The 20718-nt window shown below is 40.0% G+C and overlaps 1 protein-coding gene across 2 annotated transcripts in view; it reads left to right on the top strand.

Moving 5' to 3' along the window:
- Positions 1–20718, top strand: part of HACD1 (3-hydroxyacyl-CoA dehydratase 1) — a 28343-nt gene extending 7625 nt beyond the window's left edge. The window contains exons 2-7 of one of the 2 annotated variants that reach the window (NM_014241.4): positions 5703–5820; positions 6006–6024; positions 6102–6190; positions 10339–10460; positions 15367–15545; positions 19304–20718. In NM_014241.4, the coding sequence (NP_055056.3) occupies positions 5703–5820; positions 6006–6024; positions 6102–6190; positions 10339–10460; positions 15367–15545; positions 19304–19386 (610 nt within the window). In that variant the 3' untranslated portion in view covers positions 19387–20718. The remainder of the gene's footprint in view (positions 1–5702; positions 5821–6005; positions 6025–6101; positions 6191–10338; positions 10461–15366; positions 15546–19303) is intronic. The other variant, XM_005252641.5, reaches the window with a different exon arrangement.

Here is a 20718-nt window from a genome sequence, read left to right as displayed (position 1 = left end):
CTTGGCCTCCCAAAGCGTAATTTCTTATGAAACCGCCAAACTGGTTTCCAAAGTGGTTATACCCTTTTATCTTCCCTCTCGCAATGAATGGGACTTCCCATTGGTGCACATCCTTGCCAACCCTTGGTGTGGTCAGTCATTGTAATTTTAGACATTCCGAGAAGTACATTCTGTTATCTCATTGGGATTTTGATTTTGTTTTCCCTAGTAGCTAACGATACTGAGTATCTTTTCATGTGCTTCACTTGCCAATCATATATCTTCTTGGGTATCTGTTCAAATCTTTTGCCCATTTTTAGCTGGGCACGGTGGCTCACACTTGTAATCCCAGCACTTTAGGAGGGCGAGGCGAGTGGATCATGAGGTCAGGAGATCGAGACCATTCTGGCTAACACGGTGAAACCCCATTTCTATTAAAAATACAACAAATTAGCCGGGCGTGGTGGCGGGCGCCTATAGTCTCAGCTACTACGGAGGCTGAGGCAGGAGAATGGTATGAACCCGGAGGTGGAGCTTGCAGTGAGCCGAGATCGCGCCACTGCACTTCAGCCTGGGTGACAGAGCAAGACTCTGTCTCAAAAAAAAAAAAAAAAACCTTTTGCACATTTTTTTTCTTTAATGGGCTGTTTGATTTCCTATTATAGGGTTTTGAAAGTTCTTTATACAATCTGGACACAAGTGCTTTACCAGATATGTGATTTGCAAATATTTTCTTCCAGTTTGGGCTTGATTTTTTATTCTCTTAACAGTGCCTTTCAAAGAGCAGGTGTCTTAATCTTAGTGAAATTCAGTTTCTCAAGCGTTTGTTTTTTCTTTTATGAATCTTTCAGCTTGACTCGTTATTGGCATGAGTGCTGGTGTACAATCAGTTGAAGCACTCACATATTGGCTGCTAAACAAAAGTATAACTTTTATCTAGAAAAGGCAGTTTAGAGGTGTCAATGAACAATATATGAAAGTATGGGCCAGACGTGGCGGCTCACGTCTGTAACCCCAGTACTTTGGGAGGCTGAGGCAGGCAGATCGCTTGAGGTCAGGAGTTCGAGACCAGCCTGGCCAACATGTTGAAACCCCATCTCTACTAAAAATACAAAAATTAGCTGGGTATGGTGGCAGGTACCTGTAATCCCAGCCACTTGGGAGGCTAAGGCACGAGAATCACTGGAACCTGGGAGGTTGAGGTTGCAGTGAGCTGAAATCACACCAGACTGGGTGACAGAGCAAGACTCCATTTCAAAAAAAAAGGAGACAAAGTGTGGAGTATATGAAAGTTGAAGACTATCTTCGGTCCAAGCCTCCAAATGGCTAAAGGAGGTATACAAAGGAAATAGCAAGCTAGAATATTGTTTTTCAATGATTGTTGAAATAATGGATCTAGCCAATGATCATCAGTAACTGCTAGCATCACAAAAGAGAGAGTCTGGCCAGGCGCAGTGGCTCACACCGGTAATCCCATTACTTTGGGAGACTGAGGCAGGCAGATGGCTTGAGCCCAGGAGTTCAAGATTAGCCTGGGCAACATAGGGAGACCCCATCTCTACTAAAAAAAACCCCACAACAGCAAGAACAATAATGAGCCAGGTATGGTGGTACACCCCTGTGGTCCCAGCTACTCGAGAGGCTGAGGTGGGAAGATTGCTGAAGCCTGGGAACCCAAGGCTGCCATGAGCCATGGGCACACCACTCACTCCAGCCTGCGGGACAGAGCGAGAATCTGTCTAAAAAAAAAAATCCTAATTGCAGAAATTCCAGTTGCTTTTGAAATATTTTCTGTTTGTTTTATTATAGTTACTAAACCGATAGATGAAGGAAGTTCAAAACTAGTTCAATATAGGACCCTTAAAGAGACTTTCTTTGACTGTCACCCTTTCTGATGGAGGGCTTAGGAAGTGAACCCTGATTCAATTGGCTCCTGGCCTTACTTAGGAAAAACAGACAAGAGGTTAGAATAGATGTTTCGATGGGTCCTTTCAAATCCCTGAGCCTGTCAATTTCTTTTATTTCCCACAGTTTAGTGAGTGGCACGATCATGATACTATGCTAGGTGGTACAATACTGCCACCTATGGAGCAACAGTAGAACTTGTTATAATGTTAACGATGCATGGATTTTTATACAATGCTGTTTAAAAATGTAGAAAACTTGCCATCCAAATGACTCCTTTGATTGGTAGGTTAATAACTGCCTCTCAAACTTATCTTTTGTGGACATCTGATTTGGGTTCACCTAAAAAAGACAAGTGTATGGAAAATGTGAATGAAAATATCTTAATAAACTTTTTGTTTTCTTAGTAGAAGAAATATGGGGACTTTGAATTGAAGATAATGAAATCATAATACTTTAGTTGTGGAAGGTACCTAAAGCATGATTCCGATGAGTGCTGTAGGATCAGTCCAGTTCAGTGTTGGCGCTCACATGAGATGGATCCATCAGTTGTAGCCACAGTGAAGCTGGGGTAGAGTGGAAAGGGGTCAGGACTAGGGAGTCTAGAGACTGCAGAGGTTCTATTACAGACTCAGTCATGAACTTACTCTAAGACTCAGGGTAAGTAACTGAATGTTCTGGAAGATGATTATCTCATCTAAAAGAGTGGCCTTCAAACTTTTTGGATAGCATGCTACTATCAATTAAAATATTTGAGCATAGACTCTCCATATAACTTTAAAAATATATTTATAATGTAAATATGAATTGCTATCATTAACTGGTATCTCAGGGCACAGTATATACTTAGAGCCAGACCGACACAGCATAGTGGCTTAAGAGCATATACTCCGAGCTTAGTGGTGGCTGTGTGACCCTCTCTGCCTATTTCCTCAGTAGTGAAATAGGATAATAGAAGACCCTCGCCTCATAGGGTTATTGTGAGGATTTGAGGTTAATATGTTATGAATTGAAAACAGTGTCTAAGACATAGAAAGCACTCTGACAATACACTTATTATTGTCATTGTTATTATCATGAATATGTCTGCATTTCAAAGGTCCTTGTGGTCCTTTCAGATATTTACTTGACTTCTTGCCAATCTGATAAACAAGTCATTGCTTTTACCTTATTATGTTCTAAGAATAGAAGTGTCATTCTGCCATCTTATTATTCTCTTGAGAATGCATTTTCATCAGATTCAGTTAGTAGATTCTTTGCAGGAATCTTTTCAAGCCATTTGTCCACTGTATGAGTGTTCTTTGATTAAAAAAGTTAAAACTGCATGATAATTTTATATTTCATAAATCTACTTACTAGACTCTTTGGAGACTATCTAAAAGACTAGGGTAGCTCCTCATTTCCCTGGGTGAGTTATTAGAGCTTTTAAAAAGTTACAGATGAGGTAAGTTGCTTAAACTTAAACGTGCTTTTGGAATTGCAGGGGAAACTGGAAAAAAATAAACTTCTTATTGGTGACTTTAGGAAGAGTAAGAAGTAGTATGAGAAAGCTGGTCTCCACAACTCTAGCTTATATTTAAAGCACGATTATTATTCACAGAACATAAGCTATATTTATATGCAAACGTAAGTTTAAAAGCGAGGGCATATAGTATTTTTTTCTTTCTTTTTTCTTTCTCTCTCTCTTGTTTTTTTTGAGACAGGGTCTTTGTTGCACAGCCTGGACTGCAGTGGCACAAACATAGCTTACTGCAACCAGCGCCTCTGTGCTCAAGTGATCCTCCCACCTCAGCCTTCCAAGTAGCTGGAACCACAGGCATGTGCCGCCATGCCTCTAAAATTTTTTTTTTTTGTAGAGACGGGATCTTGCCATGTTGCCCAGGCTGTTTTTTTCTTTTCTTTTCTTTTTTTTGAGACAGAGTCTCACTCTGTCACCCAGGCTGGAGTGCAGTGGCACCATCTCAGCTCACTGCAACCTCCGCCTCATGGGTTCAAACAATTCTCCTGCCTCAGCCTCCCGAGTAGCTGGCACTATAGGTGCCCACCGGCACACCCGGCTAAGTTTTGTATTTTTAATAGAGATGGGGTTTTGCTATGTTGGCCAGGCTGGTCTCAAACTCCGGACCTCAGGTGATCCACCCACCTCAACCTTCCAAGGTGTTGGGATTACAGGGGTGAGCCACTATGCCTGGCCTCTTCTTTTGTTTTTTTTTTTTTAAACAACCTTTTTGAAAGCAGGCCCATGGCTGATCTTCTATCTGTGGCTCAGCAATTGTTGTTGTTGTTGTTTTTAGTGAAAATTAAGTAAATATTAATTGATGACTTTTTTTTTTTTTTTCCCGAGATGGAGTCTTGCTCTGTCACCCAGGCTGGAATGCAGTGGCGTGATCTTGGCTCACTGCAACCTCCACTTCCCAGGTTGGAGCAATTCTCCTGCCTCAGCCTCCGGAGTAGCTGGGACTACAGGTGTGCGCCACCATGCTTGGCTAATTTTCGTATTTTTAGTAGAGACAGGGTTTCACCATGTTGGCCAGACTGGTCTCAAACCTCTGGCCTCAGGTGATCCACCTGCCTCGGCCTCCCAAAGTGCTGGGATTGCAGGTGTGAGCCACTGCACCCGGCCCATCTTAACTTTTTAAAGTGTAAGTTCAGTGGCATTAAGTACATTCACATTTTTGTGTAACCATTACTTCCTTCTGTCTCCATAACTTTTCATCTTGCAAAACTGAAACTCTGCACCCAGTGAACGCTAACTCCTCATTGCCCCATCTGTCCCCAGCCCCTAGCCACCACTATCCTACTTTCTGTCTCTATGAATTTGACTACCCTGTGTATACCTCATATAAATTAAATCATACAGGCTGGGCATGGTGGCTCACTCCATGTAATCCCAGCACTTTGGGAGGCTGAGGTGGATGGATCACTTGAGTTCAGGAGTTTGAGACCAGCCTGGGCAACATGGCGAAAACCCATATCTACAAAAAATACAAAAATTAGCTGGATATGATGGCGCACACCTGTAGACCCAGCTATGGGGAAGGCTGAGATGGGAGGATCGCTTGAGCCCTGGACGTCAAGGCAGCAGTGAGGCAAGACTGCGCCACTGCCCTTCAGCCAGGGTGACAGAGCGAGACCCTGTCTCAATCAATCAGCCAATAATTGTTCTTTGTTAAAGATGACAGCAACACATAATGCAAAAAAAGAAATTTTTTAAAGAAAAAAATGATCATACAGTATTAGTCCTTTTGTGCCTAGCTTATTTCACATAGCATAAGGTCTTCAAGGTTTATCCGTGTTGCATGATATGTCAGAATTTCTTTTTCTTTTTAAGGCTAATATTCTATTGTCTGTATAGACCACATTTCTTTTTTTTTTTTTTTTTTTTGAGACGGACAGCTCTGTCGCCCAGGCTAGAGTGCAGTGGCGTGATCTTGCCTCACTGCAAGCTCCGCCTCCCAGGTTCACACCATTCTCCTGCCTCAGCCTCCTGAGTAGCTGGGACTCAGGCGCCCGCCACCACACCCGGCTAATTTTTTGTATTTTTAGTAGAGACGGGGTTTCACCGTGTTAGCCAGGATGGTCTCGATCTCCTGACCTCGTGATCCGCCCGTCTTGGCCTCCCAAAGTGCGGGGATTACAGGCATGAGCCACCGTGCCAGGCCTGTATAGACCACATTTCAAGTATCCATTCACTCACTTATGGACACCTGGGTTGCTTTTACCTTTTCACTATTTTGAATAACGCTGCTGTAAACACAAATGTATAAATCAGTGGTATTAAGTTCGAAAGAACTTTATGAAATACTTTTTTTTTTTAGGTGGTTGGTTCTAGCTATTGCCATGGTACGTTTTTATATGGAAAAAGGAACACACAGAGGTTTATATAAAAGTATTCAGAAGACACTTAAATTTTTCCAGACATTTGCCTTGCTTGAGGTAAGTTTTCCATCATGCTGTTTTTCTATTGCTGTAATATTTATGTGAACATTTTTTGTTGTGCAAAATCAATATGATTTTGCTGATTACATACCACCTATGGATTTGCTGAATGCCAATGTTGACAGTGGTTTATTTAATGTTTTCTATTATTGACGTAATGATTTTTTTCTATTTGCTTACAGATAGTTCACTGTTTAATTGGTGAGTTTTTGCTTCAATTTTATACTTTTATTATAAATTGCCTTTAGGGCAATAGTTCACTTGTTTTTCTTTTTAAGGAATTGTACCTACTTCTGTGATTGTGACTGGGGTCCAAGTGAGTTCAAGAATCTTTATGGTGTGGCTCATTACTCACAGTATAAAACCAGTAAGTGACACAAACATGTTGTCTACTTGAGCCTGCAGGAAAGCTTTCCATTCATAGGAATCTAAAATATTAACATTTGTATATTTCAGGAGGTGGAAGTGTTGGACAAAAAGGAGTTGGGTTTGAGTTTTAGATGTTGTGCATTGACTTAGTGCCTTAGCAGAATGACTTTGATACACAAACAAACCCAAATATTGGCATCTTAGATCCGTAATATATTCTCCTTTGATATTTTCCAGTTTTTGAAATCAGTATTCAGGTTCTGTCAAATAACCTGCAGAAAATGTTCTTTTCTATAGAAGTTTCTTTTCAATCCAAGTTGTCCTCTTTGATTATGTAATCGAAGTTGTCAGTATACAATTTATTATTTCTGGCCAGCCGCAGTGGCCCACACCTGTAATCCCAGCACTTTGGGAGGCCAAGGCGGGTGGATCACCTGAGGTCAGGAGTTTGAGACCAGCCTGGCCAACATGGTGAAACCCTGTTCCTACTAAAAATACAAAAATTAACCAGGCGTGGGGGCGAGCACCTGGAATCCCAGCTACTCAGGAGGCCGAGGCAGAAGAATCGCTTGAACCCGAGAGGCAAAGGTTGCATTGAGCTGAGATTGTGCCACTGCACTCCAGCCTGGGCGACAGAGCGAGACTCCGTCTGAAAAAAAAAAAAATTATATCTTATTTAGCATTGAGTATTACAGCAACAGACATAAAAAGTAAATGCAGTTCTGTAGATCTGAACAAACGGAAAAGACTGAAAGTTAGAAGGGGTCAAAGGATAAAAATTTTAGTTAGGAGGAATTAAGTTCAAGAGATCTATTATGCAACGTAGTGACTATAGTTAATAGCAATGTATTGTATATTTGAAAATTGCTAAGAGAATAGTGATCTTACCACAAATAAATAAGTACATAAGGTAATACATAGGTTCGTTAGCTTGATTTAGCCATTTCACAATGCGTACATATTTCAGAACATCATGTTGTACACCATAAATATATGCAATTTAAATTTTCAATTAAAAATAATTGTCAAAAAATTGCTAAGGAGCTTTAGGAAAAATAAACAATTTTTATTGAGGCATGACAGGAGACAGACCTAATTATTGAATCTAATTAATGATTCAAACCTTTCAGGCGAGATAGACACCATGCTGCTATGTCAAGATATTGGGCATTTTAAACCCATGACAGGGCCGGGCGAGGTGGCACAAGCCTGTAATCCCAGCACTTTGGGAGGCCAAGGTGGGTGAACCACCTGAGGGTCAGGAGTTCGCGACCAGCCTGGCTAACGTGGTGAAACCTCATCTCTACCAAAAATACAAAAATCAGCCAGATGTGGTGGCGGGCGCCTGCCATCCCAGCTACACGGGAGGCTGAGGCAGGAGAATTGCTTGAACCTGGGAGGTGGAGGGTGCAGTGAGCTGAGATCGCACCACTGCACTCCAGTTTGGGTGACAGAGTGAGGCTCCATCTCAAAAAAAAAAAAAAATTAAACCCATGACAGGAACATTTCCTATGTCAACCCTTCTGACCTTCTTGACAGCCTTTAGAGCCTCCTGTCTACTCGAGGACAGATCTCTGGCCTCCTTTCCATTTCTCACATGCCTTTCTTAGATGCTTGGGGACTGACACCTGACCTCTTCTCTGTTCCTCTTAGCTTCACTGGCCCCCTGTCTGCATGGGGACAGCTCACTGACCTCCTGCTCTTTATACTTTATCCCTCTTGACTAGTATCTTTCACTCAACTTGCATGATTTACCTGCACCCTAAACAGCGACTGCCATGCAGATAGTGCAGATAGCAGTGAGCACATGCAATGGGAGAGGCAAACTATTAATTAACTTTGCCTACTAGTTTAAAAGCAGGAGGACAGCATTAACAGACTAGAAGACAGACTCTTCCAGGCAGTGAGGGAATATAATAGCTGAGTTAGGACCACCATGAGTCTGAAGAATGAAGAAGAAAGACAACATTAACTAGACATTAACTAGAGAGATGGAGGTAAAGGGAAGCTTGAGAGTCGCGAGTTCCAAAAATAAAACAGGACCCGTCTGCCCCGTTTATCCTCCAGAGGATCTCTGCCTTAATATTCCTATTTATTTTTTGCTGACGATAGTTTCCCACTGGTACCTATTCAGCACTCGTTAATTAATTCAACCAATATTATTGAATGCGTTCTCTACACCTGGTGCTGTGCAAATTTCTGGATTTACAGAAATGAATAAGGTGGGCGGGTGGGGTGGCTCACGCCTATAATCCCAGCACTTTGGGAGGCTGAGGCAGGTGGATCACTTGAGGTCAGGAGTTCGAGACCAGCCTGGCCAACATGGTGAAACCCTGTCTCTACTAAAAATTCAAAAATTAGCCAGGTGTGGTGGTGCGCACCTGTAGTCCCAGCTACTCGGGAGGCTGAGGCAGAAGAATCACTTGAACCCAAGAGGCAGAGGTTGCAGTGAGCTGAGATCGCATCACTGCACTCCAGCCTGGGTGACAGAGCGAGATTCTGTCTCAAAAAAAAAAAAAAAGAACAAGGCAATCCCAGCTGTCCAGTGTACTGGCTGTTGGGAAGTGGGGTACACTTAACGTTAAATCACGCACAATGCTAATCATGCACCTCATCTGTGCCCGGCAGTGTGCTGGGATATGGCTGTTGATAAAACAAACATGGTTCTCGCCTGGTGGAGCCTATACTTGGGAGAGAAGCTAAACAAATATTTAATCATATACGTGTTAAGTGCTTTGAAGCAAGAGCTCGGTATGCGTTGCAGTATACCTAAGGACTTAGTCTGACGTAGGGAGTGCAAGAAGGCTTCCCTTAAGGAGGGATACAGATGTTGAATGCTGACATGTACAAGAGTTAGCCAGACAACTCTTAGTACAGATTGGCAAATGCCACAACACAGATATGAACAAAGTACAGTAGAAGAAGGGTGCTGGGCTGGGCATGGTGGCTCATGCCTGTAATCCTAGCACTTTGGGAGGCTGAGGCAAGCAGATTACATGAGATCAGGAATTCGAGACCAGCCTGGCCAACACGGTGAAACCCCGTCTCTACTAAAAATACAAAAATTAGCAGGGCATGTAATCCCAGCTACTCCGGAGGCTGAGGCATGAGACTCATTTGAACCTAGGACGTGGAGGTTGCAGTGAGCCGAGATCATGCCACTGCACTCCAGCCCGGGTGACACAGCAAGACTCCGTCTCACATAAATAAATAAATAAGCTAAATAAATAAATAAATAAAGGTGGTGAGCAAATAACTGCTCAGGGTGAGAGGAGAGGGTTGGAGTCAGTTTTCTAGAGGGCGAGATGTTTTAGCTGAATCTTGAAAGATAGGAAAAGATTTTTTATGGAATAAGAGAGTAACATTCCAGTGAGAGTGAATAGCATGTGTTAAATTGCACAAGTTCAGAGCATATTCTGGAAATAACAACATCTAGTGTCACCAGAGAGAGAAGTAGGTAGAAGGGTTGAATAATTGTAGATGAAGTTGGAGAGATTTCCGAGCAAGGATTGCAAAGAACCTTGAATATGGTGCCCAGGTATTAGGGCTCATCCTTTTATTCTGTTAAGAAGTGTGGGACCAGTGAAACTTTTAAATCACAGGACTTAGCTGATTCCAATTTGTTTTTTATGTATTTGCTTCTTTGACTTCTTTTTAAAAGACAACTTGCATTCATGAGGACAATAAAGGGAGGAAAGACTATTTAGGAAACAGTTACAGTAGTCAAGATGAGAGATGATAAACCCCTGAATTAAAATAGTAGTAAAAGGGCCAAAGATGAGTGAGCAATTCAAGCGTTGGTCCTACAGTAGAACAGGTGTGATTCAATGATTACTAGAAGTAGGAGGGTCAGATTTTGGTTTCAGCAAGGTAACATTGTCCTCTGATGATAGCGTTATTTCCTGAAGTGAAGGACGAGGGAAGAAAAACGAGTCTATGCTCAACTATTCCTGTGCATAAGATACGTTTAAGTTCCACGTTTATAATTAATTATGTTAATGGTGACTGCATTAAGTTTTCTATATTGCATTTGCCTAACCCTAACATTCCATTATAAATAAAAGGCAATAAATAAGTAAAGTAAGTACCTTCACTGAAAAGTAAGTTCTAGGTTGAATGACACTGGGTTTCTCTGTAATTCTGCAGATCCAGAATGAAGAGAGTGTGGTGCTTTTTCTGGTCGCGTGGACTGTGACAGAGATCACTCGCTATTCCTTCTACACATTCAGCCTTCTTGACCACTTGCCATACTTCATTAAATGGGCCAGGTGGCGATATCTTGCAGTTTAGTTTCTCCTTGTCCTGTGCATGCTTATTTTGTGTGCTAACGCCAGAGAATTAAAATTCGTGTTTCAGCCCCACGATGCCAGAATGCTGTTATAGGAGGTATAACTGGTATAACTAATAATTATACAAGTTATGATTTGTATTCTAAAAGCTTAATGATGAGAGAGGAATCGTATTAATAAATATTTTGAGTGAAATCAATGTGAGACAAATTGTGGTATCCTTAACCTCAGAATTAGTCATTCATTTTTTTTTGGAAAGCACAATATACATTTTTGGAATTAGCTTACATAAGCAGTACCAAAAATATGTTTTTTTTTTGTCTGTGATGTAAATTATTTTAATAGTCAATCTAGCAGCCACAATTTATACCATTTACACAATGCGATTGGTTTTTTTCTTTGCTTTAAGTTGCAGAGACATTTTTAAAAGTCACACTTACTTAAAATTGTATTATTTGGAATGTGGATAAAATTTATATTTGAAGGGCTCCAAATATATCCTAAAGCAACAGTTTTTAAAGGAAAAGATATCTGTTCTTCTTGAAGTTTGAATTCTTTGAGCAATTGACGTTTTAGAAAGTTATTATAAAAGCAAAACTGCTCTTTGGAGAACAAGTCACAAATCAGTATAGACTTGTTCATTTTATTCTTTGTATTGTACTTTATGGTAGCAATAACAATGACAAATGGTGTGTGCCTACTGCATGCCTGAGATGTAGGTATGAACAAAACAAATTCTCTGTCTTATGATGAAGACAAAACATAAACTAATAATATGTGATATGTCAGGTGGTGATAAATGCTGGGATTATAGGTGTGAGCCACCATGCCTGGTCAATTACTATTTTTTAATCCCAAGTATTATACATGTTCAAATATAATAAATGAGAATATATAAACCAAAAAGAAGGAAAACCACTTTTAAATTACTTATAATCTCTCTAACCAAGGATAACCACTGTTAATTGTGTTTTATGGGTTTTTTTCTCTTTTTTTTTTTTTTTTTTTTGAGACAGGGTCTCATTCTGTCACCCAGGCTGGAGGATAGTGGCACGATCTCGGCTCACTTCAATATCCACCACCTGGGCTCAAGCGATTCTCCTGCCTCAGCCTCCCAAGTAGCTGGGAGTACAGGTGCAGGCCACCACACCTGGCTAATTTTTGTATTTTTTGTAGAGATGGGGTTTTACCATGTTGCCCAGGCTGGTCTCGAACACCTGAGCTCAAGTGATCCACCCACCTCGGCCTCCCTAAGTGCTAGGATTACAGGTGTGAGCCACTGCGCCTGGCCATGTTATATACTCTTTGTGACTTTTTAATATTCTCTAGCTCTTTTTTAGACACTTGCGGCTTACCACTTTGTATATGATGAGATACTTTGAAATTATAATTTGAGCTTAAGTGTCTTGTCTGTCATAAGAAGGTTGTACTACCATTTATATGGATTTGGTTGGTTTTAATCTTACTGTACATGAAAATGTGTTTACCTTTAGTGACTGAGCTTTTTAAAGGTTGGCAGTTTTGAATGTAGCTGGACTCTAATCCTAGAACACATCAATATCATTTCGCATGACAATGTTCTGGACCTCTGGCACCTTTGAAAATACTAACTTACCATATAGTCTCTTTTCATGTGCTGAATTTACAAAATTTGTCTGAAGAGGATAGCAGAATGTACATTGCATATTTTCCTGAGGTTGGCACATTAGACTTGATGGCTTTGTGTGTCTGTCTTTTGGAATGCATTTGCATGTCTTGAGTGTCTGGAAAAGATAAAAACTCTGCCATCGTATGTTTAAATTTGCTGTTTAGAAAGTGTTTATCCATTGCAGGCTGGGCGTGGTGGCTCATGCCTGTAATCCCAACACTTTGGGAGGCCAAGGTGGGCGGATCACTTGAGGTCAGGAGTTCCAGATCAGCCTGGCCAACATGGTGAAACCCCATCTCTACTAAAAAATTAAAAAATTAGCCACATGTGCCTGTAATCCCAGCTACTTGGGAGGCCGAGGCAGGAGAATTGCTTGAACTAGGAGGTGGAGGTTGCAGTGATCTGAGATCACACCACTGCACTCCAGCTTGGTGACACAGCGTGACTCTGTCTCAAAAGAAGAAAGTGTTTATCCATTGCCTTAATGTTAAACAAGTTATACAGTCTTTCAGCTTTGAAATCATATGTTACATAATACTTTGTCAGTTGATCATAATCATAAATAATTATGTTTCATGTCAAAAAGATCTTAAAAATCCCAGCCATCTAAATATGTTTCCCAACTCCATTAAGTAAGGTAAAATAATATTTGTATTTATGTTCAGATGTTGAAGCTGTCATTCTCGAATAAAACTACACTTTAGAAATGGCTTCTTAGTTATAAGTAGTTTGGCCTATTGTTACAGTTTGAATATACTTTGATTCTATTTATGTGTCATAAGTGTTCTTGGAAAAGTCCTCAGAATAGGTAATTGTATATATTAAGTTAGGTTTTTCATATTGATTTAAAATGCACTCCCTTCAAAAAAATTTTAGATAGTAATTGGGAACCTTCAAAGAAGCATTGTATCTTTTTTTTTAATGTGGTCTATCCATAGTTAAATCTCCCATACTGCCCTCAGAACTTAGAGAAGTAGTAACATGCAATCTTTTTGAAGTGCAAGTAAAGTCAAATTATATAATTTGTTCCCATTTCATTAGAAATTTTCATTGCCCTTAAGACTTTCAACTAGCTTATTGTAGGAGTGTTAATTTTTTCTTCTATTGAAGAACAATCCTGCCAAAAAAAAAAAAAATCTTTTGAAAACCACATAAAGTAAAAATTGCAACTTAATCAGTTTGGGTATTTTACTGAGACAGGTATATAAAATGTCCAGTTATGGGATTTAATAAATTGAGGAATAGGGAAAGATTGATTTAAATGATACACAAATAACTACCCAAAACTGGTAAGAAAGCAGGGAGTTTCTCCAAGGCCAAGAAGGGATTAACAGGTACAGTGAAGGAATCATTCTTCTTTCTTGAATAGCTCATCTATTTTGGCAAATAATTCTGCCCTTCTCCCCATCTCTTATCTTCGCATATCCTTGACATACAGGAATAATGCAATTTTTAATTTGTCTCCAAGCTTCTTCAATACTGACAACTTTGACTTTTCTTTATAGATATTTCCTAATGCCAACAAAATGATTAAATAAAATACAGATTAATTTGATTTCTTTTTCCATCAAAATGTTGACCTTTTGTTTTAAATTAAAAACATTTTTCTTTTTTTAAATTAAATTTATTTTTTTTGAGACAGGGTCTCGCTGTGTCACCCAGGCTGGAGTACAGTGGTGCGGTCTTGGCTCACTGCCCCCTTGACCTCCTAGGCTCAAGCAATCCTCCTGCCTTAGCCTCCCAAGTAGCTGGGGCGACAGGCATGCACCACTGTGGTCTGCTCATTAAATTTTTTTTTGTGAGACGGGGTCTTACTATATCGCCCAGAGTGGTCTTGCACTCTGGCCTCTTAAGTTTTCTGTGGTAACTGTTATATAGTGACTGAGTCAGAGAAAAATGATTTTTTTTTTTAATGAAGAAATATGATCATCTTGGATCCTTTAGGCCCCTCTTATTGGAGACCAGCCAGTAGAACACAGAGTGTTTCCTAATTGGAAGCATACAGGATGCCTGGCCTACTGTGTGTTCCAGACCTTGCCACAGACCAAATGAACACATGATGACTTTGGATTTAGAGTAGAACTTTCTTAACTCTACTTTAAACAAGCTCACTCTTCTTTTAATGTGGGAATTCAGGAACTAACTTGTCAATTTATTTTGTTACGGTAGCAGTTTTAGACAATATAATATACTCATTAGTAGCTACTCATGCTTCAGGTGGTATTATCAGTTTTCTGCAATAATTGGTTTTCATTAGTAACCACAAAGACTTTTTCAAATGCCTCTTAAAAATAACTACCTTGGTAATTTCAAGGTTTAGATATAAAATTTAGGATAATCACTGGTCTTTTTAAACGCAGTGTTTGATCAATAAATTACTAGCTGCCGCGGACAAAAGCAGTCATTTGTGATTTTATGCACCAAAGAAGTTACCATTACAATACTTTTTTTAAAGCTACATAGGCCGGGCATGGTGGCTCATGTCTGTAATCCCAGCACTTTGGGAGGCTGAGGCGGGTGGATCACCTGAAGGCAGGAGTTCAAGACCAGCCTGACCAACATGGTGAAACCCTGTCTCTACTAAAAATACAAAAATTAACCGGGCGTGGTGGCGGGCGCCTGTAGTCCCAGCTACCCAGGAGGCTGAGGCAGGAGAATTGCTTGAACCCGGGAGGTGGAGGTTGCAGTGACCCAAGATTGTGCCACTGCACTCCAGTCTAGGCGACAGAGTAAGACTCCATCTCAAAAAAAAACAAAAAACAAAAAAAAAAAACACCAAAAATTAGCTGGGTATGGTGGCACACACCTGTAATCCCAGCTACTTGGGAGGCTGAGGCAGGAGAATTACTTGAACCCAGGAGGTGGAGGTTGCAGTGAGCCAAGACTGTGCCGCTGCACTCCAGCCTGGTGACAAGAGCGAACTCCATCTCAAAACAAAAACAAGAAAAACTACATATACATTTTTTAATACATAAAAGTATTTTGGTACTCTAAAATAAGTTGATACTATTTTATTAAAAAGACATTGCCTATTATGGAAACTGGTATTAGGAAAAAAAGGATGATAATCAATAAGCAAATGATTAAAGTAGAACTATTAACCTTACGTAAGGTTATTGTAAATATGTAAAGAAAAGAGAATTTTGAAGTTTAAATTTAGTAGTAGCAATAGACCTGCAATGTAAAGTCTAATAATTATTGTAGAAAAATAATTCTCTGAGGTTTTTCTTTCTCCAGATATAATTTTTTTATCATCTTATATCCTGTTGGAGTTGCTGGTGAACTTCTTACAATATACGCTGCCTTGCCGCATGTGAAGAAAACAGGAATGTTTTCAATAAGACTTCCTAACAAATACAATGTCTCTTTTGACTACTATTATTTTCTTCTTATAACCATGGCATCATATATACCTTGTAAGTATATACTTATTAGTACTTTGATTTGACATATGATGTGGAAATTTTTGAAAGGATATAATAATATGCAAGGGGAAATAATTAGAAATAATTGCTTACAAATACATTAAAACTTCGGTTTAACTCCATATTTACTGATAATTTGGGAAAAGTGAAGGGAGATAGAGGCAGAAGACAGTTCATTAGCTATGAGAATAAAGGCAGGTAAATTAACGCATGGATTATTGCTTTCTCAAAATCATTTAAACATCAGCTTAGTATGATTTTTTTAAAGAAAGATAAAAACAAATCATGTTTAAAGCATTAGTGCACTTTTTACAAGCATTTAGAATTATATGTCTGAGTATAAACACTGTGTCCAAGAAAATTTCAGATCATTTCTATCTATTCATTAAGCATATACTTGGAAAAATCATCTAGGAGTAGTTTTGAGTCTTATTTGTGTTGCTCTATGTACTTGCAAATAATAAAGCCTCTTTTCTTAAAGGATTTTGAATAAGTCAGCCTCTTCACTAATTTCTCATCATCTTTCAGCAGTTGAAGTGAATTGGTAAGGCTTTACTCCATTTCAGTGCTGCTAATAGTGAGGCAGGGCTCCGTGGCTCATGCCTATAATCCCAGCACTTTGGGAGGCCGAGGCAGGTGGATCACCTGAGGTCAGGAGTTCGAGACCAGGCTGGCCAACATGGCAAAACCCTGTCTCTACTAAAATACAGAAATTAACTGGGCATGGTGGCGCATGCCTGTAATCTCAGCTACTCAGGAGGCTGAGGCAGGAGAATCGTTTGAACCTGAGAGGCAGAAGTTGCAGTGAACTGACATGATGCCATTGCATTCCAGCCTGGGCAATAAGAGTGAGACTCTGTCTCAAAAAAAAAAAGGCGTGGGGGCTAATAGTGATATATTTTTAAGTCAAATATTGATAGCTCTAAAATCTACATCGACATGATACAAATTATTTCATCTAAAGGAGATGCGCATAAAACTTGGCCAGCCCCTTGAGGTCTCCAACTTTTTTTTGTTGTTTTTTTTGAGACAGAGTCTTGCGCTTTTGCCCAGGCTGGAGTGCAGTGGCGCCATCTCAGCTCACTCCAATCGCTGCCTCTCAGGTTCATGGGATTACAAGCGCCTGCCACAGTGCCCACCTAATTTTTGTATTTTTAGTAGAGACGAGGTTTCACCATATTGGCCAGGCTGGTCTCAAACTCCTGACCTCAAGGGATCCACCCACCTTGGTCTCCCAAAGTGCTGGGATTACAGGCATGAGCCCCTGCCCCCGGCAGATGTCTCCAACTTGTATCTTTCCCAAAGTCAAAATTGACTTAGTGGTGAAAGATATGTTTTCCCCTTGTCTTCTACCACTTCAGCCTGATTCTGTATCTGATTTTCTACCCCAGCCAGTTCGGGAGAGCTAAGGAGGGGATGCCTACTCTATTGGTTCACATCCCTCTCTTTTCCCAATGGCAGGTTAATGGTAGCATTACTTGAACAGAACCAGAGCTTGCTTCGGTGTCTGTCTGACAGTTACAGGTTCAAACAGTGGGTTCTCTTCCTCCTCATGGCTTTTGAGGCATCTCCATGGAAATGGAGAGCCTGAAGCACCTTTTTCAGTTGTCCTGGGAGATGTAGACTCTGGCCTGTACCAGTAGCAGCTTCCCAGTTCACCATGCTGCCAGCTACTGAGTCCCACTGGCCAGAGAATCACTCAGCCCAGAACATGTTTTCCACTGCATTTTTTTTTAATTCCCTCCTCCCCCTGCATTCTTAATGTTAGTAATAAATCAATTAATTTTACTTATTAAATCCTTTGCTAATTAAAAGTACTTTTTGAGTACTTAGTATTCAAAAGTAGTAGTATTATTTCTCATTTACATTAAGATGAAAGAGGTTAAGTGAGTTGCTTAAAAATCACTAGCTTGTGGCCTGGTGTGGTGGCTCACACCTGTAATCGCAGCACTTTGGGAGGCCAAGGTGGGAGGATTGCTTGAGGTCAGGAGTTCAAGACCAGCCTGACCACCATGGTGAAACCCCGTCTCTACTAAAAATACAAAAATTAGCCAGACATGGTAGTGGGCACCTGTAGTCCCAGCTACTCAGGAGGCTGATGCAGGAAAATCACTGAAACCGGGGAGGCAGAGGTTGCAGTGAGCCAAGATTACACCACTGCACTCCAGCCTGAGTGACAGAGTGAGACTCCATCTCAAAAAAAAAAAAAAAAAAAAAAATCAGTAGCTGGTGAGTTAAGGCAGGGTTTGAACTCAAGCCCATACCTTCTGTTCAGCTACTCGGAATTTTATGGAAGTATTTACAATAATTGGTCAGTGAGTTTAAGTAATTATGACCTGAGTAAATTTAGCCCCCTAGGTATATATAATGTGATGGTAACCTTTCTTAAGTTAGGAAGAACCTAAATAGAAAGACTTTTTATCCAAAGTTGCCTAAGCAGGATATTCAAAGCTTGTTTTGTGATAAGGTTCATTGGTTTGATTATTCTGATCATCATATTCAGAAATATTTTTACACTGGCATTGTTTATAGCTGATATTAATTTGTTTATCCACCAACATTTATACTATGAAACACTGGTTTGAAACACTGGTTCAAATTGGTTCAAAATATTCTTCAAATTTGACTGGACAGATGACAATTTGTCCAACTGACCTAATAACGTATGTATTTATGTGTTATTATATAATGGATTAAATACCCTTACACCCAGCCAGGAGGAGCTTCTGCTTTAGGCTCTGTTAAGAGGACCTTGCTGTAGCTCTTCTGTGGTCACTCCACACAGCACCCCACTGCCTTCTAGATCACATTCTAGAAACCTGAGACCATGGAATTTGCTACCCAGAGGGCAATGAGCATGCATCTGGGCCCTAACCAGGCTTCTTCGTTGATCCATGGTCCTGAGGGTTAACCATGTATCAGTATACGCACCCCTGAGAAAACAGGATAGCCAGGGGGCAGCTGTTTGTGAGGGGTATGGATGAAGCTTAGATGTATGCACCCGGGTATCCTCACACATGTGCAGGAGACCCCTTGCAGTACAGGATACAGCCAGTAGAATGGAGAAGAGGAGGCTGGGTGGGGCCAGTTTTCCCTGTGCTGGAATGTTCTGGCGCAGCATTCCAAAGAGTTCAGAATTCTAAACTCAAACATGGTCTTCCAGGTCATTATGAAGGTATTTTTATCAAGGTATTTAAGTTTGTTAAAAACAAGCAAAAATAGGCCGGGCGCAGTGGTTCATGCCTGTAATCCCAGCACTTTGGGAGGCCGAGGCAGGCGGATCACTTGAGGCCAGGAGTTCAAGACCAGGCTGACCAACCTGGTGAAATCCCATCTCTACTAAAAACAGAAAAATTAGTCAGGTGTGGTGGTGATGCATGCCTGTAATCTCAGCTACTCGGGAGACTGAGGCAGGAGAACTGCTTGAACCTGGGAGGCAGAGGTTGCAGTGAGCTGAGATCATGCTACTGCACTCTAGCTGGGGCAATAGAGTGAGACTCTGTCTCAGGAAAAAAAATAAATAAGCAAAAGTAAAAACAAAACCTCAACAGTTACAGCATTAGAATATTTAGGCATGTGGTATGTGGGCTTCCATTTGCACTCTTATAGTCTTGAGCTCTGTAAATATCCAGGGAACAGCAGTGGTATGGGATGTATTTACTCTCTAACATTGCCACATTTAACAGGTTTCAAGTATAAATAATTTTAAAGCAATAGCTTGTTTTTCTTTGTTTTCTTTTTCAATGAAGTGTTTCCACAACTCTATTTTCATATGTTACGTCAAAGAAGAAAGGTGCTTCATGGAGAGGTGATTGTAGAAAAGGATGATTAAATGATCTCTGCAAACAAGGTGCTTTTTCCAGAATAACCAAGATTACCTGAGTCCAAGTTTTAATAACAAGAATAAACAACTTTGTGAAATATCATGGATTGTATGGTTTCTTAAAATATAACTTGAGACACGTGGTATTTGCCAGTATTTGTGTTCCTCTTGTGCCAGATCTATTTTTTACAAGAACTGTGCAAATATCAGTAACTTTTGGGTAGGTATTGATTATTAGGAAAATAATTAGGTGTATTATCTGGGGGAAAAAAAAACTTTTGCTAAGTTTTTTTTGAAACATGCTCAAAGCTTTTTAAATCAATATTTAGAAATTAGTTTAACGATTTACTATTATACCTGCTAGTGATATTTATGTGATATTTATAAATGAAAATAAATGCAAAATTATAACAACTTGTTAATAATGTATTGGTATTTTTGAACCCACAATCTATTTTTTCAGGAATAAGGCAGCATTATGACTAATAACAGTGTTTGGAAGCGTGGATATAATTTGCTAAAGTAAGACTTTTGATGTAGATAAAGTAGCAGCATAAAAACACACAAATATTCAAGTAGATGTCACAGTTGGAAAATATTCTTTGGAAATATTTCTAGGCAGCTGAAATTACTTATACTGCTAAGGAAATCTGCTTTTTATTTAAATTAGCCACTTAAGGACAAGGTTTTCAACTGTGAAGGTTTTAAGGGGTTAGGAAGAGCATAAGTATTTGCCCCACTATTAAAAAAAAAACATGACATCTGACTATAATGTTGTATTCAGGCTGGGAGTGGTAGCTCATGCCTGTAATCCCAGCACTTTGGAAGACTGAGGCAGGAGGATCGTTTGAGCCCAGAAGTTCAAGGCCAGTCTGGGCAACATAGCAAGACCCCATCCCTAAAAAAATTACAAACAAAAAAAATTAACCAGGCATGGTGACACATGCCTGTAGTTCCAGCTGCTTGGGAGGCTGAGGTGGGAGGATCACTTGAGCCCAGGAATTCAAGGTTACAATGAGCTATGATGGTACCACTGTACTTAAGCCTGGGTGACAGAGCAAGACCCTGTCTCTGAAAAATAGTGATGATGATGATGATGATGATAACGATGATGAGGAAGATGATCATGCTGTACTCAGAACTTTGGTTGAGAAAGTCTTCTCTATACTGTAGAATTATCTTGTAACAATTGTTATGATAATCCCTTTGTGGTACTTAGGTAACTAAACATTTTGGGGTATGATCTTTGGACAGACTCCTTTCATTCTGAATTCCATTGAATAGCAAAAGGTCTTGTAATAAAGTTCCTGTCCTTGTGTTTAATAAAAAAAATACACCAGA

Source organism: Homo sapiens, chromosome 10 (genome assembly GCF_000001405.40).
Source record: "Homo sapiens chromosome 10, GRCh38.p14 Primary Assembly".
NCBI lineage: Eukaryota > Metazoa > Chordata > Mammalia > Primates > Hominidae > Homo > Homo sapiens.
The sequence above is the reverse complement of the archived record's forward strand: the minus strand, read 5'-3'. Positions and strand labels throughout refer to the sequence as shown.